Source organism: Homo sapiens, chromosome 1, assembly GCF_000001405.40.
Source record: "Homo sapiens chromosome 1, GRCh38.p14 Primary Assembly".
In the NCBI taxonomy this organism is placed as follows: domain Eukaryota; kingdom Metazoa; phylum Chordata; class Mammalia; order Primates; family Hominidae; genus Homo; species Homo sapiens.
Window position 1 is genome coordinate 22,131,168 of NC_000001.11, and position 26,218 is coordinate 22,157,385.

At 55.2% G+C, this 26,218-nt stretch overlaps 1 protein-coding gene and 1 long non-coding RNA gene across 10 annotated transcripts in view, besides 7 other annotated features; one reads left to right on the top strand and one right to left on the bottom strand.

The window, feature by feature from the left end:
- The window catches only part of WNT4 (Wnt family member 4), a 25,785-nt gene extending 13,855 nt beyond the window's left edge, over window positions 1-11,930 (bottom strand). The window contains exon 1 of one of the 3 annotated variants that reach the window (NM_030761.5): window positions 11,679-11,930. In NM_030761.5, the coding sequence (NP_110388.2) occupies window positions 11,679-11,755 (77 nt within the window). In that variant the 5' untranslated portion in view covers window positions 11,756-11,930. Of the gene's footprint in view, window positions 1-9,490; window positions 9,729-11,678 lie in introns of those variants that run through there. The other 2 variants (XM_011541597.3, XM_011541599.2) reach the window with 2 other exon arrangements.
- Window positions 164-924: an enhancer, noted in NCBI's record as "H3K4me1 hESC enhancer chr1:22457824-22458584 (GRCh37/hg19 assembly coordinates)". NCBI's record gives its function as "activates a minimal SCP1, AML or CMV promoter by ChIP-STARR-seq in naive H9 embryonic stem cells {active_cell/tissue: H9 hESC(naive)}" and the evidence as "EXISTENCE:reporter gene assay evidence [ECO:0000049][PMID:30033119]".
- Window positions 925-1,683: an enhancer, noted in NCBI's record as "H3K4me1 hESC enhancer chr1:22458585-22459343 (GRCh37/hg19 assembly coordinates)". NCBI's record gives its function as "activates a minimal SCP1, AML or CMV promoter by ChIP-STARR-seq in naive H9 embryonic stem cells {active_cell/tissue: H9 hESC(naive)}" and the evidence as "EXISTENCE:reporter gene assay evidence [ECO:0000049][PMID:30033119]".
- Window positions 2,023-2,748: an enhancer, noted in NCBI's record as "H3K27ac-H3K4me1 hESC enhancer chr1:22459683-22460408 (GRCh37/hg19 assembly coordinates)". NCBI's record gives its function as "activates a minimal SCP1, AML or CMV promoter by ChIP-STARR-seq in naive H9 embryonic stem cells {active_cell/tissue: H9 hESC(naive)}" and the evidence as "EXISTENCE:reporter gene assay evidence [ECO:0000049][PMID:30033119]".
- Window positions 5,003-5,516: an enhancer, noted in NCBI's record as "H3K4me1 hESC enhancer chr1:22462663-22463176 (GRCh37/hg19 assembly coordinates)". NCBI's record gives its function as "activates a minimal SCP1, AML or CMV promoter by ChIP-STARR-seq in naive H9 embryonic stem cells {active_cell/tissue: H9 hESC(naive)}" and the evidence as "EXISTENCE:reporter gene assay evidence [ECO:0000049][PMID:30033119]".
- Window positions 7,390-8,344: an enhancer, noted in NCBI's record as "H3K4me1 hESC enhancer chr1:22465050-22466004 (GRCh37/hg19 assembly coordinates)". NCBI's record gives its function as "activates a minimal SCP1, AML or CMV promoter by ChIP-STARR-seq in primed H9 embryonic stem cells {active_cell/tissue: H9 hESC(primed)}" and the evidence as "EXISTENCE:reporter gene assay evidence [ECO:0000049][PMID:30033119]".
- LOC105376845 (uncharacterized) lies at window positions 9,786-26,218 on the top strand. 7 transcript variants are annotated; one of them, XR_947050.1, is made up of 5 exons: window positions 9,786-9,838; window positions 23,736-24,159; window positions 24,630-24,736; window positions 25,270-25,370; window positions 25,809-26,218. It is a non-coding gene; the product is annotated as an uncharacterized LOC105376845 (long non-coding RNA). The 7 variants fall into 7 exon arrangements; XR_947056.2 differs by lacking the exon at window positions 9,786-9,838 and adding an exon at window positions 11,683-11,824 and having other exon boundaries at window positions 23,736-24,191; XR_947051.3 differs by lacking the exon at window positions 9,786-9,838 and adding an exon at window positions 11,683-11,824.
- Window positions 11,398-11,457: a silencer, noted in NCBI's record as "silent region_399". NCBI's record gives its function as "represses an Ori minimal core promoter by ATAC-STARR-seq in GM12878 lymphoblastoid cells {active_cell/tissue: GM12878}" and the evidence as "EXISTENCE:reporter gene assay evidence [ECO:0000049][PMID:35858748]".
- Window positions 12,020-12,349: a silencer, noted in NCBI's record as "silent region_400". NCBI's record gives its function as "represses an Ori minimal core promoter by ATAC-STARR-seq in GM12878 lymphoblastoid cells {active_cell/tissue: GM12878}" and the evidence as "EXISTENCE:reporter gene assay evidence [ECO:0000049][PMID:35858748]".

Sequence of the window (26,218 nt, forward strand, 5' to 3'; positions counted from 1 at the left end):
GCTGGGAGCTGGGTTTGTTCAACCCAAAGATGCTAGCCAGGGTGCAGCTGGGGAGCTGTCTCCCCATCCCTGGAGGTTTGCAGGCGGCAGCTAAATTTTATTTGTCAGGTATGTGGGTTGGACCAAGTGACGGTTCTTGAATCTGGCTGTGCATCGAAACGTGTGCAGGGTTTGTTGAAGGTGGAGGTGCCTGGGCCCCAGTCCCAGTGGGGGTTGGTGGGCCTCTGAGGTTAATTGAATGTGCCTTAGGTGCACCTGGGAGGCTAGGTGGGCACTGGCCTGGAGAACAGTCTGCATAAGTATGGGTAATGTTTCCTTCTCAGCCATAGGGAGCTCTGACTCAGGGATGCCACTGTCCTCCTCACTGTGGCATTGATCCCCAGGATGTTTCCTTTTCCCCGTGGCTGTGGAGCCTGAGCCTGGCTTTCCTTATCTGTAAATGGAGATAACGGTTCTCACCCAGAGGGCTGCCAAGAGGAATGCCCGTGATTTGCTGTGTGATGCACCTGGCTGTCAGCTGGGCACATTCTAGGTGCCAGGTAATTGTGGGGGCAAGTGTACAGCATGGGGCAAGTGCAAAGTAGGCGGTCTCAGGCCGAAGAAGGCCAACCTCCCCTCCCCACCCCCTGCATTCCTGGTCTCCCAGGGGCCTCCCCGCCCCTCCTTCCTATCTACCAGGTGGTTCCCAGGGGATGCACAGACTGGTGGTGTCCTGACAAGGCCCAGGCAGGAGCTCGGAGCCCCTTGGAGGGAAGACAAGGGCAGGAAGGGGGCTGAGAAGCAGCAGAGGCTGCATTTGGAAGGGGAGGGGCCCACCCGGCTTCTCAGCCCTGCCTGGGTGCTCTCCTGCCTGTGCCCAGCCAAGGGGTCGCCTGTGGAGCCAGTCCCACCTGTTGCTCTTGGCCTGCAGGGGGCGCCAAGAGCCCGGCTACTGGCTGTGGGCCAGGTCCACGTTCAGGCCACAGGTGTCCCTCGGTGGGGGGACAAGGAATTGAGCCTGACGTTGGATCCTTTCCTGCTCAGACCGAGGCTTGGCCTCTTGGAGAAGGGTGGGGGCCCTGTTTGCTCTATGATGTGGGGGCACAGAGCTGGCCCATCCCCAACTCAGTCTCTGCTCCCACAGCATGCAGCCAAGAAGGCTGCATCTGGCTGTGCTGGGCCCTGGGCTCTGGTCAAGGGAGGCACCCAAGGGCAGGGGTTCTCTGGGCAGGGGGGGCAGCCTCTGACCCACCATGACCTTGGGCAAGTCCCTGCCATACTTGGAGCCTGTCTCCTTATGGGTACAGTAAACCGGTGGGTCCATATGGCCTTTCCCACTGTCGGAGTTGGTGGGCCTCCTTCTACTGGCAGGGTGGGGAGTGGCCGGGCCTCAGGGGCCTGCTGGCCCCATGCCAGGCTGATAGATGTGTCTCTGCCATTGAATAAGTAGTAAGATGGACCAGGGGAGCCACCTGCATCCCCCCACCCAGGCTCAGAACTCAGCAAGGGGAGACTGGCTGAATGACAGTCGCAGGGGCTTAGGGTGAGCTGCTGGGCTGCCGTGGCCGTGAGTCACTGGGCCAGCTTCCAGGAAGGAGCTGAGCAACCTCTTCCGTTGGCACCAGTGCCCACCCCCAGCCCCTGCCTTCATCTGGCACAGCAGCTGTCCCCTTCCGTACACACGAGGCCCAGCCCCATCCCCACCCCTGTTCCCCCAGACCCCAGGGTCTCGCCCGGGCAGGGCTGGGTGCCAGGGCTGGAAATGGAACCGGGCACCGGCTCTAGAGAGTGAGAACCCCAGGCATTACAGGCCCTCATCCACAATGTTTCTGCTTGCCCGTTTCAGTATCCAACTAGCATTTGGCTCCATTTCACAGATGAACAAACTGAGGCTACGGAGATAAAGCAACTTGCTTAAAGTCCCACAGCTAGAGCGGCGAGCTGCAGTGCAAACCCAGCCCTAACTCTCAACTCTCTTTCCTCTGTACCTGGCTGTGGATATGCCCCATTTACCTGCTGAGGGGGGCTAACACTGCCCTTGGTGCCTCACACAGGGCACAGTGCATAGAAGGTGTTTAATAAATGCCTGCAGCAGGATGGAGGGCTCTGTCCTGACGGGGTTCCCTCTGCTTCCCTCCTGGCAGAGTGCTCAGGATGGGGAAGATAAGGATGAGGGAGGAATGTGGGGGCTGCTGTGGTCTTTTGATCTGCTGAGAGCCTGGAGACCCATCAGGGCGAGGCCTGATTAGTACTGGACACCTCAGGATTCCCAGTGCCCTAGGGTGGCTCAACCCCAGAGACACGTGTGCCATCCGCTGACCCTGGAGCTGGACCAGGCTCAAAAATGGAGTGCACCAGCCCTTTCTAGGGGTGACAGAGAGCCAGGGCGTGATGGGTGGGCCGGGCCAGGCTGTGCAGGGCCTTGGCCATCCCTGAGGCTTCTCCTGTCGTGGCTGCATTGCCCCAATTTAGGCTCCTTCCTGCCACCACGGAGTACAGGCTTAGCAATTTGCCACCTGCTGCCCTGGCCACCCAGGACTCTCGCCATGGCCATGCCGTTGATCAGGTTACCCCACCAGCCCAGACCGCCCCTGCTGCTGCTACCAGCCAGCTCATGCCCTGATCTTCTCCAACGGGGGCTGCAGGTCCTGCAGGCTCCTCCCAGGAGGCCCTCCCCGAGCCCGGCCCGTGCCTACAGCCTGCGAGGCTGGAGGGCCCTTGCCCTGCCAGGGAGATCAGATCCTCTCAGCCACCTGCTGTTTTCATTAGAAACTAAAATTAGCTGGGCTTGTCCCAAGCTTTTCCAGGTTTGCTTGCTTTTTAAAAAAAATATACAAATTCCTAGAGGAAAATCTGCACCTCTGCGACTCCTCCCAGCTCTTACGCTGTGAGTCAAGAGGAGAGGGGACGGGAAATAGCTGGAGCGTTTGGGAGGCCAAGCAGATCAGTGTCGTGGGTCCCGGCCCTGCGGGTGTCCAGGTGGGGGCTGGGACGCCAGCGCAGGCCTCTCTGCCCCCTCCCTTTGGCCTCCCTGCCTGCCTGGGCCACATTTAGAGCCTCCTCAGGAGCGGTCGTGCCTGCGATACCAGGGAGGAAGGAGGCCAAGTGGGTGGGAGGGGGAGCCGGAAGAAAACGGAGTGGCTGCTGAACAGAGCTGCCTTGGGGGATGCGGGCCAGTGGGGGCGAAAGTGACCACAGTCCCCATCTAGGACTGTGTTCTTAGGGGGATGGTACCTGGTTTCCCAAGATCCTAACCATACCCCCCACTCACTTTTACATCTTTGAATGTTTCTATAACCACAGTCTTGGTATCCTGCTGTGCTCCCCCTGATGGTGCCCTAGCCTTGGAGACCCTTGTCTTTTGGCATGGCAGGCAGTGCAGAAAGGACATGGACCAGGGACTCCTGGGTCCAAATGTCATCCTTGTGTTGCTTGAAGCAAGTTAGTGAACACCTCTGAGCCTCAGCGTGTTCATCTGTAAAGTGGGGAGACTGGAATTCCTGCACGCAGGAGGCCTAAATGAATGAAATCTGTGTGCAGGAGATGCTCGTCCCTGCTGCAGCATTGTCCTAGCAGCACCTTCAAGATGCTCACTGTCATCGGTGCCGTCACCACCCCTCCCACAGCCTCTCCCAGTTCCTCTGGCCACCCCTCTGCTGCACCCCAGACCAGACCCATGCTGACTTCTGCTCATTTGTGTGTGTGTTTTTTTGCTTGGGTCTCTTGGCCCTCTTAGTCCTGGGTTCCCAGTCTTTTTTTCAGCTGATCATGCCTGAGAGGTGGGACACGCTCCCCCGGGGTACAGTGGATGACCTCAGCAGCCATCCCAATGGCAGGCTTTTGACAGAGTCTCCAGATGAAGTCTGCAGAGTTTGAGGATGTGTTTCCTGGCGACTGTCAGTCAGACCCTCTGAGGCTGGGGAGTGTGAGAGATGGGTGGAGGGGATGGTGCTGCTAGGACATCAAGAGCTGGGACACTGGGGTGAGGGCAGGGACAGTGGTGTGCAGGACAAGCTCAGGAGTGTCAAGGGGACTTGGAAACCATTTGTGGGCATCACAGAGTGGATGCATGGGACCTTCACTTATACTCTGCAATCAATAGTCACGTGCTTCAGTATGTCCTTAGTGCAACAGCACAGGGCTGGCTAGGCAGGTGTCTTCCCCTCTGTTTCGCAGATGAGGAAACTGAAGCTCAGAGAAGCATGTGTTTGAGCCCATGCAGCCTGCAGTGGAAGGTCAGGATTTGAAAACGGGTCACTCTGGCTCCTAAGCCAAAGATGACCCAGGGTACTGAGGCATGAAGTTTGGCAGTCAACAGACAGTGACCTGAGGGAGGAGGCCTGATTCTTCCCTTGATGGGTCTTTCTAGAGCCCCATGTCTTTTCTGAACTACAGTGAGGTGTCTGGGCTGTGTTCAGGAGTAAGGGGTGCTGGGGACAGATGTCTGGGTGGTTACGGGACTGCCTGGACAGTATGGAAGCCTGTGGTCTCTGTAGCTGTTGGGGCCATGGAAGGGTTGCTGCCACTGGTCCAAAACCCCTGGAGGGGCAGGCTTTGGAGACACTCATGGTGGTTTGCAGGGCAGTGGGTGCTGCCTTCACCCCTCAGCCTTAGCATGGTCCTAGGTCTCTCAAGGCCCAGGCCAAGTCCTCTTGGCCTCAGGTGCATTTCCTCAGGCGGAGAGAGAGAACGGCCTCCCCTGGAACCCAGGCCTCCACCGCCAGTGCACACCACTCTGCACCTTTGGGCCCCTTTCCCTCTTTCCTGTCTCCTGGGACCCCTCGCTCCCATCTCCTATCCTTGGAAGCCTCAGTGCCCTCATTTTCTGACTCTTGGTTTCCCAATTCTCATTACTTCCAGTATCCTGGTACCCTAGCCCCCTACATTTCACTCCTGAGGGCTCTGTGTCCCCCACTTCCTGTTTGGGAGCCCCCAACCCCATTTCCCATCTCACTGTATGTATTCCCAGCGAGCTGGTGGCTGCCTCAGGGCCACAAAGTAGCCCCTTGGACCTGAGCCTGGATGGCCCCAGAGCTCTGCCAGGTGAGAACTTGCCTTCTCTCCCTGAGGCAGGTGTGTTGTTGGGGGGAGTGGGTATCAAATTTAAGGCTGGTCTGACCTCACCTTGTCCCCCAATTTGCCAGCAGAGAGCTCTTCCTTTGCTAGACCCATCCGACCTGTGTCCCCACAACCTTTCATGTCCTGTGGCCACTGACCCATTGAACTGTCCTCCCTGCTGGGCTGAGGGAACCTGGGGTTGGGGAAAGAGGAGGGACAGGTGAAACCCCAGCAGAACTGTCCAGAGCCAGTGCTGGCCTCCTGGAGTGAGGCTCCCGGTTTCTAGTGAGTTCATCGGCCTTGGGGGATACCTTCCAAAGGCCCAGTCCTAGGAGAGCCTGTGGCTGAACCCCTACTCCCACCCCCACCAGGGTGGGGCTCATCCCCCCAGCAGAGAATAACTGGCTGGGGGTACAGGGCTGCAGGGCTGCAGGGCTGCTGTCAGCGGCTGCGGGAACAGCTCTGGGAGACCTGGGATGGAGTCCTGGTTCTACCACCGCCATGCTGTATGGTCCTAAGTGCCCAGCACAGGGCCTGATGTGAGGAAGTGCTCGACATGTTTGCCTGGGGGCATCCCAGGCCCTCCCTGGCAGGAAGGTTCCCCAGGGGGTTGACTGAGAATCCCCAAGAACCCCCTCACACTCATGCCTCGAAGCTTGGGTTGCCGGAACAGCTGGGCACCCGACTCAGGAGGGGCTATTCTGCTGTCTCCAGCCCTTGGGGAAGGGTCTCTAGGGCCCAATCCTGGGATTTCAGGGCTTGTGTGTGAACAGATTGAGAAATAGGGTCTGAAGGGACCATTCACAGTCATCTCGGGGAAGGGCCCTGAGGCCCATCAGCATTCCTGCTGTTCTAATGGGCCTCTCCAAAGATACATGTGAGCTGTCCGAGGCTCCTCTCCCCTGGAGGACGCATCCCTTCCTCCTCCCACCTCCCTCCCGCTCTCTCCTCAGACCAGGTCCCCTCCTCTGCGGGGTCTGACTTGGCAGGGAACTTTCAGAACACAGTTTGGTTTCAGTTTGCCAGGACATGGGGGAGGGGGAGCTGGTGGGGTCACGGCAGGGAGCGAGCCGTCCCGAGTTTGGCTGAATCACAGAAGATGCAGTTCAGGACTCAGAGATAAAACCTGGCAACTCCTGTGGAAATCTGGAGAGCAACCCTGGGGTCGCAGCTCTGCCTGCAGCTGCGCCTGCTCCATGCAGTGAAGGGGTGACTGGAGGGCCCACGGCAGGCAGCTGTCACCCCACCCATGGCTCCCTGGCCAATCTGCGCCCCACTGGCTAAGCCCAAGCCCCTCTTCCCAGAGGCAGGAACAAGAGGAGGAGGCTTGGTGCAAATGCTCAGCTTTCCCAGTGTACCCACAGAGCCTGAGTTGGGCGAGTTTCAACAGGTTTGGGGAGCACTGTCTTGTCAGATGCTTGCTGTGTTGCTCAATTGCTAATCCAGGGCTGAGGGAAGAAAGTCAAACCATAGCAGACAGCTGGGTCGTGACTGCTGCCTGAGCAACCCCCTCGGGCAGAGCCTGGTCCTGGGGTGCTGCAGTGCTGGGGGAGAAACACTCAGCCTGGCTCTCAGGGTCTGTTCCGGCCCAGCAGTGAGGGGCAGAGCAGCAGATCGGGGGGGCAACAGACACACTTCCTGCCACCCACCTCTGTGCCTTTTAGTATCACCTGAGCCTCAGGGCAGTGGAGCAGAGCCTTCCTCCTACTGCAGGCCTTTGAAGATGGGCTACCATTGGACAACAGCTGAGAACCCTCTAAACAAGCCCACCTTTCATTCATCCATCAAAGATCGGCTGAGCACCTAGTACCTGACAGGCACGTGCCAGGCACTGTGAGATATTCAGAGGTGTTTATGCCACAGCCACGGCCTCCAGATGTTTATAACCTTGTAGAAGCAGTAAAGAAACCACATGATTAGACTAGAGTTATATATAATATGAAACGGTTCTATAGGCAGGGGATGAAAGCTGTAAAATCTGGACATGGGAGAGCAGTTCCAGTCCTGCTTCTGATTTGCAGGATGACCTTGGGGAAGTCATTGCACGTCTGGGCCTCTGAAGTGGGGCTGAAAGTAATCTACACTCCTGTCCTCTGAAAGTGGTTGTGGTGAGGCATGGAGGGGATGGTGTGTGGTTCAAATGGGTAATGGTTGTGAAAGATCTTTGCCAACCATTGATTCCTGGGGGAATGATTTTGCCCGCCCCCCAGGGGACATTTGGCAAAGTCTGCAGACATTTTGTCCTTTCGCTTGGGGGGATGTTACTGGCTATCTAGCCGGTAAAGGTCAGGTATGCTGCTAAGTATCCCGCAATGCACAGAAGAGACCCAGACAGAAGACTCATCCAGTCCCAAATACCAGTGATACGGAGGCTGAGAAATCCTGCTGTAAACTGTGAAGTACTGTGGGGGTGTTTGTGATTGTAATTCACTGCCCAGAGCCACGGAGGAGCTCTAAGGAGACGGATTTTTGACTATTTAGAGGGGAGAGAGGGATCTTTTAAAGCTGGGAATCAAGGGCACACTTCCTGGAGGAGGTGGGCCACATCTTTACCTGTGTGGTTGGCACTGCACATCTGGGCTGGCCGTGCCCCATCCCTGCCCCAGGGAGTTGTGCCCAGAGTGTTGGGCTTCACTCCACCCAAGGCCAAGGGAGATATAAACTGTCCCCCGGCCCCCGGGCAAGCAGGCTCAGGGGAGCTTGGCCGGAAGTCGCACACCAGTGGGGACTCAAAGCCAATGGAAAGCATGATGCGTCCTTCACTGCCCCCAGGGCACGGAAAGGTGCTCCCAGCAGCAACTCCTCTGCCTGGCAAGATTGGCTTGTGAGCCAGGCTAGGTCTTCCTGACTCTGGGAGGCTCCTGCGGGGGCCCTTGTTGAGCAAGGGGGTTGCAGCCTAGGATCCTACCTGTGTTAAATCAGTGGATCTGGGTGGGACAGCCTGGGATAAACAGGGCTTGGGAGCAGCAGCCTGAAGGCCCGTTTTCTCCACCACCCCTATCAATAGGGACGCAGCCCTGCAGCTCCCTGACAGCAGCCCTTGCTTCCGGCAGCTGCCAGGGCTGCCATTTCCATCAGCGTGCCTGGCCCAGTGCCAGCTTGCCACACGCATGGGCTCGCTCTTTCTTCCCAACCACCATTGTGCACCATTTGCATCAGTGGGCTCCATTTTACAGATGAGAAACCCGAGGCTCGGAGAGGTTAATAACCTGTCCAAGGTCACTCAGCTGGGCAGGGCAGAGCTCGGTTGGATCTCAAAGACCCACTTCTTGGCCATGCCGCCGGCCTGCCTCTGAGTGCAGCGTGGTCCCCCTCCCCTCACCCGTGGGATTCTGCTAGAACCCCGCTACCCCACTACTTTCCTCAGAAATCCACAGTCCTGAAACCTTAGCTTATTTATTCCCTAACCCTCCCCAGCACTTCCATTTGGGGTTCAGAACGATCTGCTGAGGACTGTGGCCCCAAGGGAGGAAGGGGACACCCAATATGTGGCCCAGAGCTGGGACTGGAACCCAGGTATCCTGACTCCCGGTACAGCCTCAGTGCAGGGAAGAGGGGACATTAGAAACATTTCTGAGCTCAGGTCCGTGGCAGGGCAGCCTCCTTAAGGGCAGAGTCCCAGCCTTCCCCCAGGGACTCTTCATCCATCGGGCCCTCCCTCAGTGGTGGGAGCCGTCACAAGCTGTCAGCGGGCTCCTCCGGGTGCCAGACGAGAGTCTAATCAACAGCTCCCAGCTTCTCTGGGCCTGCCCAGGCCTCAGGCTGCCCTCCCAGCTCCAGGCTCCATCCTGCCCAACAGCTGCACGCGGCGGGACACCTGGCCTCCCCACCAGGCCACCTGCCCTTCTGAGACAACAGATAGTCCTGGCTCTCGCCACTGGCCAGCAGACCCACCCTGGACTCCAGGGTATTGGGAGGCGAGCGGAACCTAGACCTTGCTCCTTGGCAGGTGCTGTCAGCTATCCTCTCGGGGCCAGGCCTCCTCATACCTCACACTTGAAAAGACACAGTGCCAGCCATCATGCCTGCATGGACACCTGCCTCCCCGAAGCTTTTCCTTCTAGAGGCAGCTTTTCAGTCGGACACCTCTGGCATTTACCAGCTGGGTGACTTGGGCAGTTACCTCTGCGATCCCCAATCTTCTCATCTGTAACGGGATTGAAACGTTGTTGGGATTTAGATCATGCTGTGGGAGTCATCATAATAATTATTATTGTCATGATCATACAGTCTTCAGACCAAGTCCCCCTCTGTGCCTGCTCGGGCTCACACTCAGCTCTTTCCTCTGACAGCCATAGAGCATGTGCCCTGTTCCACCCAGTCGTGGTTTTATCATGTCTTTCTACCTAGACTCCAGGCTTGTGGGAGGCCAGGCTGTGACATCCATTTCCCCCAGAGCTGCCATTCCTGGCCAGCTGATTGTTCGACAGAGGTTGATAAATATTGGACCAACCTTGGTATGTGCCCAGTGTCTTCTCCTTCATAGCCTCTCTGGTTTGGGAGGGTCCTGGGAAGCCTCTTGTTCCTCTTGCCTTGGGTGGAGCAGAGAGACCCTTGGCTTGAAGCCGGGGGTGGAGCAGGAGTGAGCTGGGTCATCCAGAGACCTGCTTCGTGGCAACCTGAACCATCACCGTTGCAGAGAACAGGTTTGCCAACCTCTCTTCTCCTAGGCTGCCCCTCCTCACCCCACCCCCAACAGCACAGGCAGGAGAACTGAGTTGTTGGAATTCCCCACAGTTTGCATGATCCAAAGCCGAGGCTGCCTTCCTGGCTGGGATTCTGGGGGTGGACATGGGTGAAGGTGAGTGGTGATGCCACCGGGCCATGCTGGCTCCACTTTGGGACAGCTTCAGGGAAGGGGGTATAGGGTCACTGCCTGGGAGTCAGAACACCTGGGTTCAGTTCTCAGCTCTGAGTTTGGGCAAGTAGCTTCCACTCCCTAGGCCTCAGTTTCCTCATCTGAGTCAAAGATGAGATGTTCCTGAAGGACTTTCCACTGCAGATGTCGCTGTCTTCCATGTAGGCCTGGGCCAGACGCTTGGACTGCCACTTTTTTTTCTTTGTTTTTTGTTTGTTTGTTTGTTTTTTGTGGCTTTGGCGGTGCTGGGCAGGTGAGACACAGTTCTTGCTCCTTCTGATGCTCAGATCTGTTTTGGAGGCCCCCGCTCTGAACCCATGCATTCAAGAACCAGCTCCAGGGACACCCAGGGTCCTCCAAGTCCAAATCAGCTCCCTCCCCAGCTCTGTGACCCAGGCTCCATTCAGGGGGTGGCCTGCAGGGGGGCAGTGGGAGAAGGTGGTGGTGCCTTGCTTTCTGTACACTCTGCCACTGCTCCTGAAGTGTTAATCAAATTAAGGCTCCAAGAAAAACAAAAGCTCCGCAGCCACTTCGGGCTGCCTTGGAGTCGTTTGCTCTCGGAACAGCTGGGAGAATTCCACATCACCTCCGTCCCCCAAGCCCTGGGTGGCTCTGACCCCAACGAACACACTCCTTCCAGCCTGGAGGGCTCTGGCTGGCCACAATGACCTCATAGCAACAGCCATTGGACACTCGGGGCAATTTCATGGGAGATATTTGTTCTTTGGTCTTGATGCAGAGAGAATTTTTTCCTCTCTCCCTGTCTCCATGGAAACCCCAGCTACACTGTTGGCGATCCCCCTTCCCACCCCATGCTTTTCAGATCAATATTGGAGCTTGGCTCCCCACTGGCTGCCCACAGCGGATGGTGGCAGAGCTCTGGGCAGGAGGAACTGGGGCCAGGGTTAAGCGCGGGGCATGGGGAACTGTCCCTGAGCGGGGATGAAAGGAGCGCGGGTCCGCTTGCTCCCTGTCCACCCACTCACTGGAGCTCATCCCTTTAGTCTCCCTCCCTGCAGCAAACCTTCCGCCCCTACCCAGGGAGCGCCCTGAGCGCAGATCCAGTCAAGGAGAAACAGACAGGTCACCAGCGGTTACCACCCCTTCCTCCTTAGGCTAGACACGGGGAGCTGGGGGGCCGTTGTCTTCTTTAAGGTCTGGACGGAGTTTCTTCCTGCCCCGGGGAAAAACCAAGGCCCGGCCAGCGCCAGCGCCAGCCCCGGGCCCTGGGAGACCAGGCGTCCTGGTCCCTTCCTTCTGTCTCCGGCTCCCGCCCCCCAAGCAGAAACAGGTCCCTGCACGCCTCCAGCCCAGCCCGCAGCGCGGCGCAGCTCGGCGCAGCTCGGCGCTGGGAGCTCGCTCCGGACTTCTCGGGATTAACCTGCTATTATGTCCCGGAGCCCTTCCCTGCAATGGGCTTCCTCAGCGACCTGTCAGCCCGGCTGGACTGCAACCCGCGTCCGGCGCCCCTCCCGGGCCACCGCCCCGCGCTCGCACCCCTGGCGCCCTCGAGAGCCCCGAGCCGCCTACCGGTGCGGACGCCGCCACAGCCACCCCTGACGCCTCTGGGCAGGGAGCCGGACCCGGGCAGGAGGGGACCCCGGGTGTGCAGAGGGACGTTCGGGCCGTGGCGGCGGCAGCGGAGCGAGCGAGCCTCCGGTCCCGCGGCCGAGACACCTGCCGGGCTGCCCCGCGCCCGCTGCCCCGCGCCGCCTGGCACCGGCCGCTGCCCCCGGGGCCTGCCCCGCCCCGCCCCGCCCCGCTCGGCCCCGGCCAGACTTACAGCCAGTTGCTCGCGGCGGCTGAGAAGACGGCGAAGACGAGGAGGCGCAGCGAACGCAGGCACGAGCGGGGACTCATGGTGCCGCCGCGGGCGCCCGGCCCGGGGCAGCGGCTGCGGCCGCGGGGGGCCTCCCGTCGGGGCTGCAGGTGGGCGCCCGCGGGCGGGCCGGGGCGCGCGCGGCGGGGCTCTGCCTCCGTGTGCCTGCCGGCAGCCTGCCCGCTGCTGCGCCCGCTGCCCGGCGCGGACCAGACTGTCAGCGCCGCCCCAGAGCCGGGATGCGGCGGCGGCGGCGGCGGCGGCGGCGGCGGAGGCGGGCGGGCGGGCGGGCGGCCGGGGGGGCGGGCCGGGGGCGGGCCGAGGATGGGGTTACCTGGGCGGGCCCAGCGGCCCGGGACACCCCCCCGGGGGCGGGCCGGAGCGGCGGCGGCTGCCGCCTTAGCCCGCGGGACTGGGCTGCTCCCGGGGCCTCCCCGGCTGGGCGCTCCGGAGGACTTGGGGCCCGAGCCCGCTCCAGGCACGCCTGGCTGCGCGCCGCCGAGCCCGGCCCGGCTAGAGGCGCGGCGACCCAGCTGCCCGGCCGCCGCCCGGGCCTAGGGGACAGGCGGGCACAGCTCCCCCAACCCGCCGCTGCGGGCACTGCAGCGCGGCCCTCGCTGTCCCCCTACCCCCCCCACCGCCCCCCGCCGGCGCCTGGAGCCCAGACCCCGGTCCGACCGCGGCGGACCCACCGGAGCGCGGCTACCACTCGCGCGCACCCAGGCGCTGGCGCTCCGGGTGCCTGGGGCTGCACATCGGGGCGCTGGATGTCTCCCGACCGCCCCCCGCCCGGCCCCTCCCTGCCTCCTGGCCCCCGCGTCCTGCGGCCCAGCCCCTCCCTGGCGCTCACCTCCCTACAGCCTTCCGGGAGCTGGACGGGGCCTCCCCAGCTTTGGGCAGCTTGGGACAGTGGCCCGAGACTGTGGGAATCCGAAACCTCGCTTCTGGCTAGCCACAAGGTCTGGGCGCGCCCCAGGCAGCAGGGTCTTGACTCTGAGCCTCCGTTTTCTCATCCGGGAAGTGGGCTTAAGACGCTGTGATTGGGAGGACAGGAGGAGTTTAGGGAAGCTCTCTTGGCTCACTCACCAAGTCTTACTTTGCATTTGGTTTTCTATGTGCTTGTTCGATTTATCCTCCCATACTAGGCAGATTCAGCCTCTTGTTTGTTTTGGGCACAGGGCGGTGCCTGCCATGTTTGTGGAAGGAATAAATGAATGGAATGGAATGGGCTGCAACAGCCTGTGCTTGGCTAGTCCAGAGAGCTCAATTCCACATCACTGTAACCCCTAAGAATTGTCTGCCCAAGTCCACGCCACACCCTCTCAGGTCACTGATCTGATTCTGTGTGCTACTCATCCTCCAGGCTGCATCCCCCAGCTGCTCACAGGTAGAGGGACCTCTTATCTAAACAGTAAAACTAAGGCCCGGAAAGGGAGGCACCTGTCCCACCTCCCTAGGGGTTGGGAACAGAGGCAAGGACCAGGTCTATGCCCTCACCCCCTGATCTTAGTTCTTCACTGATTTTGGAGTATGAAGTTTGCTCCCACAGAGGCCATCATGTTTGGGTGCTGGGATGGTGCCCTGGGGTCCCCTGGGCTCAGAACAGAGGAAGGGCTCAGTAAACATTTGGTATTGGGACTGGGTGGAACGTGGCAGGGATTTGTGGGGCTGGGCAAGAGTATAGATGGAGGTTCACATACCATATGTCCAAATATTTGCAGGCTATAAATCAAGCTAACAAAATGCAAAATAAATTATGTTCTATTCTTCTATCTTGACAAATACACTTTCCTAACAAGGCAGAAAGCTGGCTTTGAGTGTGGCATTCTCATACTCCTCAGACCTTGCCCTGGAGCTGGTGGCACAGGGAGAGGGGGCCCCTAGTGCCTGGCCTGGGCCCCTGCCCCCTACCTTTTCCTACCTCTGCCTCTGTCCTGTCCTTCGAGAGTCTTGTGCACATTCATGAACATCTCAGCCTGCACATGCAAGCTCAGCCCCTTGGTAGCCCCTCAGGCTTAGGGCTGGGCACGCCAGTGGTGTACTCTGTCCTCGGGCTGGATCTGCGGAAGAGACCCACGCAGGTCCTGGCAGTGGGCTAAGGGCCATCTCTGCAGGGAACCCCAGGGGCCTGGGCACCCAGAGTATGCTCTAGTGGAGGTGCCACAAGTTCCAGGTGGGCATGTCCCCTTGTCCCATGGTCTTCCCTCCTTGTGATGAGAGGTTAGCTGGAGGAGGGCCAGACTGGGGGGGTCCCCAGGGCAGGGGCCACTCTCACCTGTGTTTAAGGGTGGTACTGAAGTGCTGACCTATTTTGAACCAGCATATTCACTTCCTGGAGACTCAGTATGGTATGGTGGAAAATAATAATAACAACGATAATAATTTAGATGGCAACAGGTAATTATGTTAGGATGGCCATATAATTTTCTTCCAAACCAGGATGTTTTCAAGAGTGACGGGGGGCTCTAACTGGAAGATTTGCCAGGCTACCAGGCATAGACCAAGACTGTGCCAGGCCACCTAGGATGCACTGTGCCACTCAAATGTTGTGCCCTGGTATGTCAGGCACTGTTCTTAGTGCTTTACACGCTTTGACTCATTCAATCGTTGCAACAAATCTAGGAAGTACGTACTGTTATCACCCTCATTTTACAGATGAAGACACCAGGTTACTTGCTTAAGGAAAGTGGTGGACCTGGGACTCCAGAGCCACATCCCCGGCTCCCATACCATCCTGAGCCTGGGACTCAGGTGTTTGGGCTTAAGCCCCTGTCCCAAAGCACATGACACTTGACCTTTGGGAAGCTGCAGGACCTTCAGTTTCTGTATCCATCAGGTGGGAACAATGTTACCTGGCTTGCCTTCTCCTGGGGTGCTGGGAGATGCATATGAGTGGGTGTGTGTGAGCCCCACGAGCAGGATCAAGCTGAGCCCAGGAGGGAGAGAACTGGAGCCATCAGAAAGTGTCTCCCTGAGCTGTGCTGTGATAATGGAGAGGAGGAGCCCTTTGCTCTGAGTCAGTGGAAATTCTTTTTTTTTTTTTTTTTTTTTTTTTTGAGACGGAGTCTCCCTCTGTCGCCCAGGCTGGAGTGCAGTGGTGTGATCTCGGCTCACTGCAAGCTCCGCCTCCCGGGTTCAACTGATTCTCCTGCCTCAGCCTCCTGAGTAGCTGGGACTACAGGTGCGTGCCACCATGCCAAGCTAATTTTTGTATTTTTTTAGTAGAGACGGGGTTTCACCATGTTGGCCAGGATGGTCTCGATCTCTTGACCTCGTGATCCACCTGCCTCGGCCTCCCAAAGTGCTAGGATTACAGGCATGAGCCACCTTGCCTGGCCGGAAATTCTTAATGAGAAAGTCTCTTGGAGGAAATGCTCTTCTAACTTTCAAGAACAGCCCAACTGTGAAGATATCAATGCAAATTAACTAAAAAGTCAAATTGTCAATAGCTCTTTAATGTCAGTAGTAAGAGTGCATCTGGTACTTTCTATATATACCAGCCACTGTTCCAAGTGCTTTGCCTGTTCGCATTAACTCATGGAATCTTGGCCACGGCTCTAGGAAGTAGATACTGTTCTTAGTTCCATTTACAGGAGGGGAAGCCCATGTGTGGCTCTAAAACTGCTATAAGACATATTAACAACCCTATTACATAGGTTAAGATTATTGTTATTCCCATTTTACATATGGAGAAACTGAGGCACAGAGAGTTCAAGTGGATTGCCTAAAGTCACCCAGGTAGCAGCACAGCCAGGGTTTGGAAGCAGGTGGTCTGGGCACTGAGCGAGCACAAAGCTGTTCAATGGACAAAAGTCTTCCACATGTCAGAATTAATGTCTGTGTTCAGAAGGGGAAGCTCATGGGGTTTCTGTAGACTCTTCCTGGGGGTTACTTTAAACCCTCAAAATCCAAGGCAGAGCCCTCCACACCATATCCCTCTCTGTGCCCAGCACCATGAGTACCTCACACATAATAGAATGGGAACATATCTTTCTTGAAGGGACCAATTCCTTAACTTCCTGAGCGGCCCATTTTTGGAATTAGTTCTCCCTCCTTAATAACTATGAAAATTCACTGAGGAAGGGAAACCCAGTCAAGTTTTTAATCAGAAAGAATCACATTCAGTGTGTCTAAGTTATCACCAGCTCTTAGGGAGTGGGCCCAAAGCAACGTGGTTGGATGTTTCTCCAGCTCAGTCCTGGAAGCACCTGGTAACGGAGTGTCAGGTCAGCTGGTGACCAGGATTTCTAGTCCAATTTCCCAGATTTGTGAGGTGAAGAAACTGGGGGCACTAGGCTCAGGGTCTAGAAAATTCTTTTTTTTTTTTTTTGAGATGGAGTCTTGCTCTTGTCACTCAGGCTGGAGTGCAATGGCGCGATCTCAGCTCACTGCAACCTCTGCCTCCCAGGGCCCAAGCGATTCTCCTGCCTCAGCCTCCAGAGTAGCTGGGATTATAGGTGCCTGCCACTTCGCCCAGCTAATTAGGGTCTAGAAAAGTCTTAATGCCTATCCGTGCACTTTGCAAGGAAATAAAAGGTACTTTCTTCCCGTGCCACTCTGGTCTACATGTGTTGGGCTTTGGCTGGGCATATCTGCACAGGCGTCTCCTCCAAGGCTGTTCACCCTGACCAGGGAGGGAACGGGAAACCTGGTCAGTCCCAGCCAGCCATCCATGTATGTGCGGCCCTCGGCAAGTCCTTGCTCCTCTCTGGGACTGGCATTTGCTCCTTAAAGACTCTTGTGGGATCTAGAGAAGCAGTGAAGTGGACCAGCAAGTTCTGGGGAATACCTGCATTTGTTCCAGGCCCTGACAGATCTCTTTGCCTCTCTGAGCCTCAGTTTCCTCATCTGTTCAAGGGGATCATAGCGATGTCATGAGGAATCAGTAGATAAGGTGTGTAAAGGCTTCTGAGCACAGGGCCCAGCTTCAGTGAATGTTGAGTAAGGCTTCAGTGATTGTTAGCGCTTCATCTTGTTCTATGTTTGAAACCAGAAGTTGCGCACCTGTGGTCTGTGGAGGTGTTTTGCTTGGCCTGCCTAGTGTGTTTTCAAGTACATGAATTTACTGATACTATTTCAAGATTGGGAGATTTCACATGAGAAGCTAGATCTCCAGCTTCTCTTGAGAAATGGGAGATTTGGCAACATGGGACCCACATTCTCGGGTGAAGAGCGATCTTTGACTTTAGATGGGGATTGTACTTTTAACAGCTCACTCATGCCCCCGTAACCCCTGTCAGATCCCTATGGGAAGGAAGGAAGCCAGTATTTACTGAGCATCCTACTGTTTGTCACAGAACACCTCAAGAGCTGTGCCTACATATTGCATTTAATCTTTACCATAAGCTGTTAGTACCCTTATTTTGCCAGTGAGGAAATAGAGGCTCAGAGAGTCCAGTTAAGTTGTCTAAGATCATCACACTGTTGGTAGGTGGTACACCCAGGACTGCCAATCTGGACGTAGGTTTCTTTTTCTTTTTAGGGCTTTCTTTCCACCCATCACCTAGTGCCGGTTCTGTAGAGTAACCTTGGTTATGACCCATTGATGATCAGAAGATGGATGTAGGTGTGTGGTTCTCATTCTTTACCTTCAGACCGCTGGGAGGCTGCGGAGTTAGAGTAGAGGTCTAGAAATCAATGTGAACACCCAGAATTCTTGGACTAAAAGCCTTCCTTCTATATAGAAGATAATCACAGTTTTAAATGTTTTACTGTGAAAATGTTCAAATATATACAATAAAGAATAATAGCATTAATAAACACCCATATCTGAATTACCCAGATTCAACAATTATCAATATTTCACCCCATTTGCCTCATCTACATTTTTTTCTTTTTTTTGAGATGGAGTCTTGCTCTGTCGCCCAGGCTGGAGTGCAATAATATGATCTCAGCTCACTGCAAACTCCGCCTCCCAGGTTCAAGTGATTCTCCTGCCTCAGCCTTTTGAGTAGCTGGGATTACAGGCAAGTGCCACCACACCCGACTGATTTTTGTAATTTTAGTAGGACGGGATTTCACCATGTTGGCCAGGCTGGTCTCGAACTCCTGATCTCAGGTGATCCACCTGCCTCGGCCTCCCGAAGTTCTGGGATTACAGGCGTGAGCCACCGCGCCTGGTCTGTTTCATCTACTTTTTAAAATCTTTACTAAATTATTTCAAAACACATGCCAGATCCCTTTTCGTTTCACCCATACAAACTTCAATGTGCAGCTCTAAGACCAGGGGTGTGCCAGAGCTGCTGGTTTTAGTGGCTAAGACCTGACTGGTGCATCTCTCCCTAATTCTGTGTTCAGAAACATCATATTGGTAGCTTGAAATCGGCCATGGTGGGAATATTTACACCATGGGAATCGGCACACACCACAAACCAGGGCTCCCCTCCATCTCCCCACCCCAGAGAGCTGGTTGTTAAACATTTACCAGTACACCACTGTCTCGAACACAAGGACAGTTTCTTACATGACCACCATGCTATTATCTTACCTAATGAAATTAACACCAACATCAGAATCAAATGTCCCCAATAGTTTTAAAAAAGTCTGTTTACTGATGGCTTCTTCAATCAGGACTTAAACAAGGTTCACCCATGATATTTGATTGTTATGTCTCCTGATTGTTATTAATCTAGAGCCATGCCCCTTTATCTCCCAGTTGTGGCTTTTTAAAATGCCCTTGGCTGCCGGATGTGGTGGCTCACACCTGTAATCCCAGCACTTTGGGAGGGCAAGGTGGGAAGATCACCTGAGGTTGGGAGTTTGAGACCAGCCGGACAAACATGGAGAAACCCTGTCTCTACTAAAAATACAAAATTAGTTGGGCATGGTGGTGCATGTCTGTAATCCCAGCTACTTGGGAGGCTGAGGCAGGAGAATCGCTTGAACCCAGGAGGCGGAGGTTGTGGTGAGCTGAGATCGCGCCATTGCACTCCGGCCTGGGGAACAAGAGTGAAACTCCATCCCCAAAAATAAATAAAATAAAATAAATAAATAAATAAATAAATAAATAAATAAATAAATAAAAATAAAATGTCCTTGGCTGGTGCAGACATGAAGTTGATTTGTAAGAGGGTCCCCCACTCGACAGTGCCTGTTTGTGCTGTCAGGCTGTTCCTCTGTTCCTGGACTTCCTGTATGTGCTCTAAAGTCTGAATGGGTTATGTTGGCTTTTTGTTATTTTGCTATTAACACATACTAAAAGTGCCCTCATTATGGAATCTTTTGCCGTGAAGGAGGGGTCGTCAGACTCAGGAAAGCTGGCCCTTCTGGTCGGGCCTCACCAGTCAGGGCAGGTCCTTTTGCATTCGGTCCTGGGAATGCAGAATCTATAGCCGCCTTCGGGAGTTCATTCCACATGCTGACACTTGGATGATCAGTATTCCTACCTCATGTCTAACTGCAGTCTTTCCTGCTTTAGATGAAGCCCATTTTCTCCACCTGGAACCCTGAGATGTCTTTTTTCTTTTCTTTTCTTTTTTCTTTTTTTTTGAGACAGAATCTTGCTCTTTCGCCTGGGCTGGAGTGCAGTGGTACGATCTTGGCTCACTGCAACCTCCTCCCCTGGGTTCAAGTGATTCTCGTGCCTCAGCCTCCTGAGTAGCTGGGATTACAGGCACCTGCCACCATGCCTGGCTAATTTTTGTATTTTTAGTAGAGACAGGGTTTCACCCTGTTGGCCAGGCTGGTCTTGAACTCCTGACCTTAGGTGATCCACCTGCCTTGGCCTCCCAAAGTGCTGGGATTACAGGCGTGAGCCACCGTGCCCAGCCCTGGGATATTTTAACCTCCTCTCTCTCAAGCCTCTTGTAATGCTGAGAAGAAAAAGTCCCCAATGTCCTGTGATTCTGGGATTCCAAGGGCTGTACTTGCAGCAGTCATCATTTCACCCTGGAGTGGGTAAGACCTTGTTATGCCCCAGCCCCTCCCTGCCCAGCAGAAGGCAGGTATCCCTTTTCCACCCACCTGAAGGATGGGGCTCTCACTGATCAGGGTGGAGGGCATTCACCTTTACCTGCCGTCCTGGGATCCCCCTGCACAGCCTGGCCAGCAGGTCTGGGGTCTTGTCCACTGGCCCAGCCTCAGGTCGTGATTCTGATTCCCTCACAGGGCTCCTGTCCTCGCTTGGTCTTTCCAACTGGATTGAATCCTGGATGCTGACTCCTCTCTGTCTTTATCCTGTTGTCACCTCACCGAGTCAGCTGGGAGCTTGCTCTTTCCTTCTAGCAACAGAAGACTGTGGTGAAAACACTTGTTGCAGCTGAGCGTTCTGCTTGAATCTTTTTTTTTTTTTTGAGACAGGGTCTTGTTCCATCACCCAGGCTGGAGTGCACTGGCACAATCACAGCTCAAACTGCAATCTCGACCTCCTGGTCCAGAAAGATCCTCCCACCTCAGCCTCCTGAGTAGCTGGAATGTAGGCATGCACCACAATATCCGGCTAATTTTTGTGTTTTTTAGAGACAGGGTCTCACTGTATTGCCCAGGCTGGTCTCAAACTCCTGGGGTCTAGCAATCTGCCCACCTCAGCCTCTCAAAGTGTTGGGATTACAGGCGTGAGCCACTGCACCCGGCACCTGCTTGAATTTTGAAAATGGCTTGACCTGGAGGGGATGCCACTCCTCTGGGAAGCAGAGTGGCACATGGGGGTTGTGGAGGCTTTGCTAGTGCTGGACCTTCAACAGAAGGTTGAATCTGAGCATGTGTTGAAGCTGCTGTTAGGAGAACAGCTGCAGTTAACAAGACCCAACCTGGGAAACACACTATTCAGGAGTGGTAAGGCCCTGTTAGAACCATCCCTTCCACAATGGCAGACTTCTAATGCAGCCCATTGCCCTGGGGAAGCTTGGGGGTGGGCAGTGTGAACTTGACTTTTCTCAAAGGTAATGCACATCACCTTTAAGGGAAGAAATCAGAGGAACTTGGAGGAATGAAAAGCTAGTCTGGCAGTGACCATTAAGAGAGAGGCAGACAATCTGGACACCAGCAATTCTGAAGTCTCAGAAAAAGGTCTGACTGATAAAGAAAAATTCAAGGTGAATTAGAAGCGGTATTTGGTCAAGGTCAAGGTAACAGGGAATGTAACTGATAGCTAAGGATTATTGCACGAGGTGCTGAATTGCACTTGAATGTCTCCTTCCTTCCTTCCTCCCTCCCTCCCTCCTTTCTGCCTTCCTTCCTTCCTTTCTTCCTTCCTTCTTCCTCTTTTTTTTTTTTTTTTTTTTTTTAGAGACAGGGTCTTGCTGTCCAGTCACTGACTGGAGTGCAGTAATGCAATCATGGCTTGCTGTAGCCTTGAATTCCTGGGCTCAAGCAATCCTCAGCCTTCTGAGTACCTGGGACTACAGGCTTGCACCCCTGGGCGCGGTGGCGTGTGCCTGTAATCCCAGCACTTTGGGAGGTCAAGAGGTCTCTCCAGGCCTTTCCATGTGCTGTTTCTCCTGCTGGGAATGCCCCTCCACTGGCTTTTTTTTTTTTTTTTTCTTTTTGAGACAGAGTCTTGTTCTGTTGCCCAGGCTGGAGTACAGTGGCATCATCTTGGCTCACTGCAACCTCCGCCTTCTGGGTTCAAGCGATTCTCCTGCCTCAGCCTCCTGAGTAGCTTGGGACTATAGGGCCATGCCACCACGCCTGGCTAATTTTTGTATTTTTAGTAGAGTTGGAGTTTCACCATGTTGGCCAGGCTGGTCTCGAACGCCTGAGCTCAAGTGATCCCCCTGCCTCGGCCTCCCAAAGTGCGGGGATTATAGGTGTAAGCCACTGTGCCTGGTCTCAACTTGCTCTTTAGTGGACTAATTTGCTGCAGGTCTCAACTTCCATAACAGGTCTGAGAAGGCTTCTGTGGGCTTCTGATTACATATTCTGTCTTAGTCCTGAGCTTTGAAACACTGTCAACGTAATACAAATGGTTATTCAATAGTTATTGGCGCAATCATCTGTTGAATGCGTCTTTTCCCGCAGCTTGGGGCCTCCAGGAGGGCAGGGACTGTGGCTGTTTTGCCCACTGCTGTGCCCCTGGTGCTGTGATGTGCCTGGGATGTGGTGAGAGCTCAGTGCATGAGTGCTGAATGAATAATTGAAGCGGGATTCTCTAAGCTATAGTTTCTTTATCCAAAAATGGGCCTACGAGTATCTTTCTTTTAAATGGGAATAGACATAACATTCATTCCTTTCCTATCCTCAACCTTTGCAAAAAAACTTAGAAGAAATAAATGGGCTTGTGAATTAGTAGCCTGAAAAAGCTGCAACTCAAGGGATTGAACATGAAGTTGGAATGGTAATTCTGGAATGGTTGAGGCGTCCCTAGCTTCTGCAACTGGTGGTTGGGCTGAATGATCCTCTCTGGTCCTGGGGTGAAGGAGTCCTTTCTCCTGGGGATGAGAGAGCTGGTTTGCTTATGTGTGCAGGGCCAGGGCTGGGCTGAGAAATTCATGGAGAACTGGGGTGGGGGCTGCATTCCACCCTAGGTGTGACTTAGAACTCTCTCTTGGGCTGGTGGAAGGTAGGATGGCCCAGGACAGACCTGCTCCCCTACGCTGGACAGGGAATTTCCTGGAAGAGGTGACCTAGAGTTTAGGCCTGAGGGATTGGGAAGGTGAGCTTGGCAGGTGGTGAGGGGAAACTGTTCTAGTGTTCTAGGCTAAGGAAAGAGCATGTCCAAAGGCCTGGAGGTGAGATGGCAGGGTGGGACTGAGGAAGGAAAAGTTCAGAGTGGTGGCTGGGCAGGTGAGGAGAGGCTGGGCCACGTGCAAAGCTGGAAGAGGCCAGCTTGGGCCAGGGAACGAGGGAAGAGAAGCCTTGGAGGAGGCTGACGCTTGTGGGGCTCTGCGTATATGTGTGTGTGTGCATACATGTGTGTGTGAATGTGTGTTGGGGAGGTGGATGGGGCACAGGGGGCAGTATCTTCAGCCTCCTACCAGCAACTATGCACACAGAAGCCCAGCCGGTATCCCCACAGAGGCAGACGCCCCGGCACTGCCTTGTCGGAAACCCGCCGGGGCAGGAGCAGCTGCTTCTAAATCAAGGCCAAAGGCAGCCAAGGGGCCGGGTTGGGTTTGGTGGTTCTGCTGTATGGGCTGATGTGGGGGCAGGGGCTGAAGGGGGCTCTTGGGCAGGGATTCTGGGCCAGAATGAGCCTGGCTGGTTTGGGGAAGTTTATTTTGGAAGCTGGGATGATGCAAAATTAAGTGGGGAGGAAAAAATAGATGAGGCGACCGAGAGGGTCTGTCTGTGGCTGGCGGGGCTGTAAGTGGCCAGCGAGAAGTGCGTTGTTGGGTAAACAGATGGGGGTGGCAGCTTTCTGCACGCTCGCTATAAATATCCCGCAGTTTGCCGCCCCTGCTGGGGTTTCCTGGCACCGTGGGTGTGGAGATCAAGGTACAGACACAGGGCACTTCCGGAGTGGCAGAGGGTGGCCAGGGCCCTGCTCAGATCCCAGCCTCCTGGGGGTGGAGTGGGCACCGGGAACTGAGGCTGAGGCCCGAGTGGGGGCGGGAGATGCTTCTTTGCTATTAACTGGCTGTGGTTCTTGGGCAAGCCCTGTGACTTCCGTGGGCCTCAATTTCTTCACCTGTAAGATGGGCATGATAAAATGAGGCAGGGCATGTGTCGCTGCTGGCACAGGGACAGGCACCCTGGAGACACTCAGGAAATGATCAAGTGCTTAGGCGCTGTGTGACCTGGGCGAGTTCTCTCGTTGCCCTGAGTCTCAATTTCTTCATTTCTTCTTCCAAAATATGGGGAGAAGAACCACTGTCTGGAGGCTGAAATGGAACCATGGGTCTGGCACTGGACTTGCAATGTGTGTGGTATTTCAGGACAAAGTTGGGGCCCGGCTGGAGCCCTCCCCCAGCCCTCTGCAGCTGCTATGGGATTTGTCTCATCTCTGCAGTATGGTAGTGATGATAATGGTGATAATAGCAGCCAGGCCCACTGCGAGCCTTTTGGTGACCCAAGGGCTTTGTAAACTGTTATCTGAGTTCTTCGTTATCTCAGCTGATTTTCCCACCTCCTCACCTCTTACAGATAAAGAATCCGAGGCGCAGAGAGGTGGCACTGCTGGAAGGAACAGAGCCAGATCCACAAGATCCTTCATTCCGACAATAAATATTCACTGAAGATCTGCCACATGTCAGGCCCCAGCCCAGGTGCTGGGGATTTAGCAGAAAACCAGCCAGACCCATTTCCTGCATCCATGGAGTGCACAGGCTGGTGGGGGAGATGGGCTAGAAATCCATGAACCAAATTATACTGAGACGAGCGAGCACCGAGCGCCTAGCGTGGACTGCGACCGCTCGGGCTCCTGTATCTGTGACAGATGTGCTTGGGCTCCTCGTAGGACCGAGGGACTTTGTTATCCACACCACTGGCCTTGAAGTTGGCTGCTACCTGATGAGATGAATTAAGAACATACCAGCACTTTGGGAGGCTGAAGTGGGTGGATCACGAGGTCAGGAGATCAAGACCATCCTGGCCAACATGGTGAAACCCTGTCTCTACTAAAAATACAAAAATTAGCCGGGCGTGGTGGTAGGCACCTGTAATCCCAGCTACTCAGGAGGCTGAGGCAGGGGAATCGCTTGAACCCGGGAGGCGGAGGTTGTAGTGAGCCGAGATCACGCCACTGCACTCCAGCCTGGGCGACAGAGAGAGACTCTGTCTCAAAAAAAAAAAAAGAAAAAAAAAAAGAACATATATTAATATATTCAGTTCATCAAAACAGTCCCTGAATACACCTCTGTGCAGAACTTGTGCGAGCCTCTGGGGACCCAGGGCTGGTCAGGCTGGCTGGGCAGAAGGGGATGAAAACATTGCCTTATACACACTTGTAGAATATGTCGCAATGGGAGAAATCTTCCCATAGCTTCTCATGAGTCCAGTGAATTAGGCAGGGCAGGTATCATTGTCCCTATTTTACAGATCAGGAAATTGAGGTCCAGTGAGGTGTCTTGGCCAGGACACTCAGTCAGGACGTGACATGAACACAGGACTGTCTGACTTCAAATCCAGTGCTCCTTCCCCTGCAGGTGAGAAGGGGCCCCTGTAGCAGTGGGAGAGGGCCCAAGGCCCCAGCTGCCCCTGAGGACCCCTTCAAGCTCAGCAGTGAGACTTTGGCCAGGGGAAGGGCAGGCATTTTATCCCGTCTCTTGCATTCCGTTCAGAAGGTCCCTGTCTGCAGCTGGAGGGTGGAAGGGACTCTGGACAGGGTCACTAGAGACCCTGCTCTGCCCTTTACCAACAATGCTGTGGGAATCCGGCGCATGCTCTCTGAGCCTGCGTTCTTCTCTGTAAACGAAAGGGTTGGACTTGATGATCTCTAGAGAGCATTTTAGGCCCTGGGGGCAGAGCTGGGAGCAAGGATCCATCTGAGAGTGGTTCAGGACAAGACTCATGCTCCAGCCCCAGCTGGGAGACTTGGTCTCTGGCTGATGGTGAAGTCTCTACCCACAGCGAGCCGAGCCAGGGAGCTGGGGAGGGAGGATATCTTTGCAGGCCACTGGGATCTCTGCAATGAGGCCATGGGGCCAGGGTCTTTCTGCTGTCTCCCCTCCCTGCCCAGTCCCCACCCCACTGACTGGGGGACAGTGCTCCAGGCAGCTGGAATGGGACACGGTTTGTGTGGCAGCGAGATATCCAGGCTCTCCTCCTTCCAGATCTAAGGTAGGAATGCACTTCCCACCCCCTTGAAGTTAGAGGTGGCTGTGTGACTGGCTTCGGCCAGCAAAATGTGACAGCAAGCAACAACTAGCAGGATGGGGGTGACTTGGGACCTGGGTGGGGACAACACAGAGCAGATGGGGCTTTGGGGTCTCTCCCACTGCTCTCCCATCCATAGGCATGCGGTGTGAACAGGAGCAATCCCTTCACAGTGTGGAGCCACCGGCTTTGGAGTTGTTTGTGGCTGCAGTGTGTAACCCAGCATCTCCTGACTGATGTTATAGGTTCTGCCGGAGGGGCAAATGCGGGCAGCAAGGGCTTGCAGCCCTGGAATTAACAAATGAGTACTAATGAGCCCTCCCTTCCTCCCTCCCTCCCTTTCTCCTTTCCTTCCTTCTTTTCCAAAATATATTTATCCATCTATTTATTTGTCCATCCAAGGATTCAAACCCAGGTCTGCTTGACTAGGAAGGCCGGCCCTCTCCATGGTGCCAGGACAACTCTTTGGAGAAGATGCCCCTCTCTCTGCCTGCCTGAATCTTCTCCGTCCACAAAGGCCTGCTCCATCCTCCCTCCTCCAGGAAGCTTTCCCTGACTGTCCCCGGGCCCAGCCAGGGTGTCTGGGGGGCTGGAGAGACCCACAGAGCCCTGATCACCGTGGCTGGCCCGTAAGTGTGGCGACTGAGTCCCAGTCTGGAGGCACAGCTGGACTTTCCCAGAGAGAACTGAGGCATTGTGGGAATTTCCCAGCTGTGACCCCAGGACCCTGATTGCCCAGAATGGCTCCAAGTTCACATATCTAGGGACCGTCACCAAGACTCCTGTATCTATATTAAACTCGGTAAATGTGA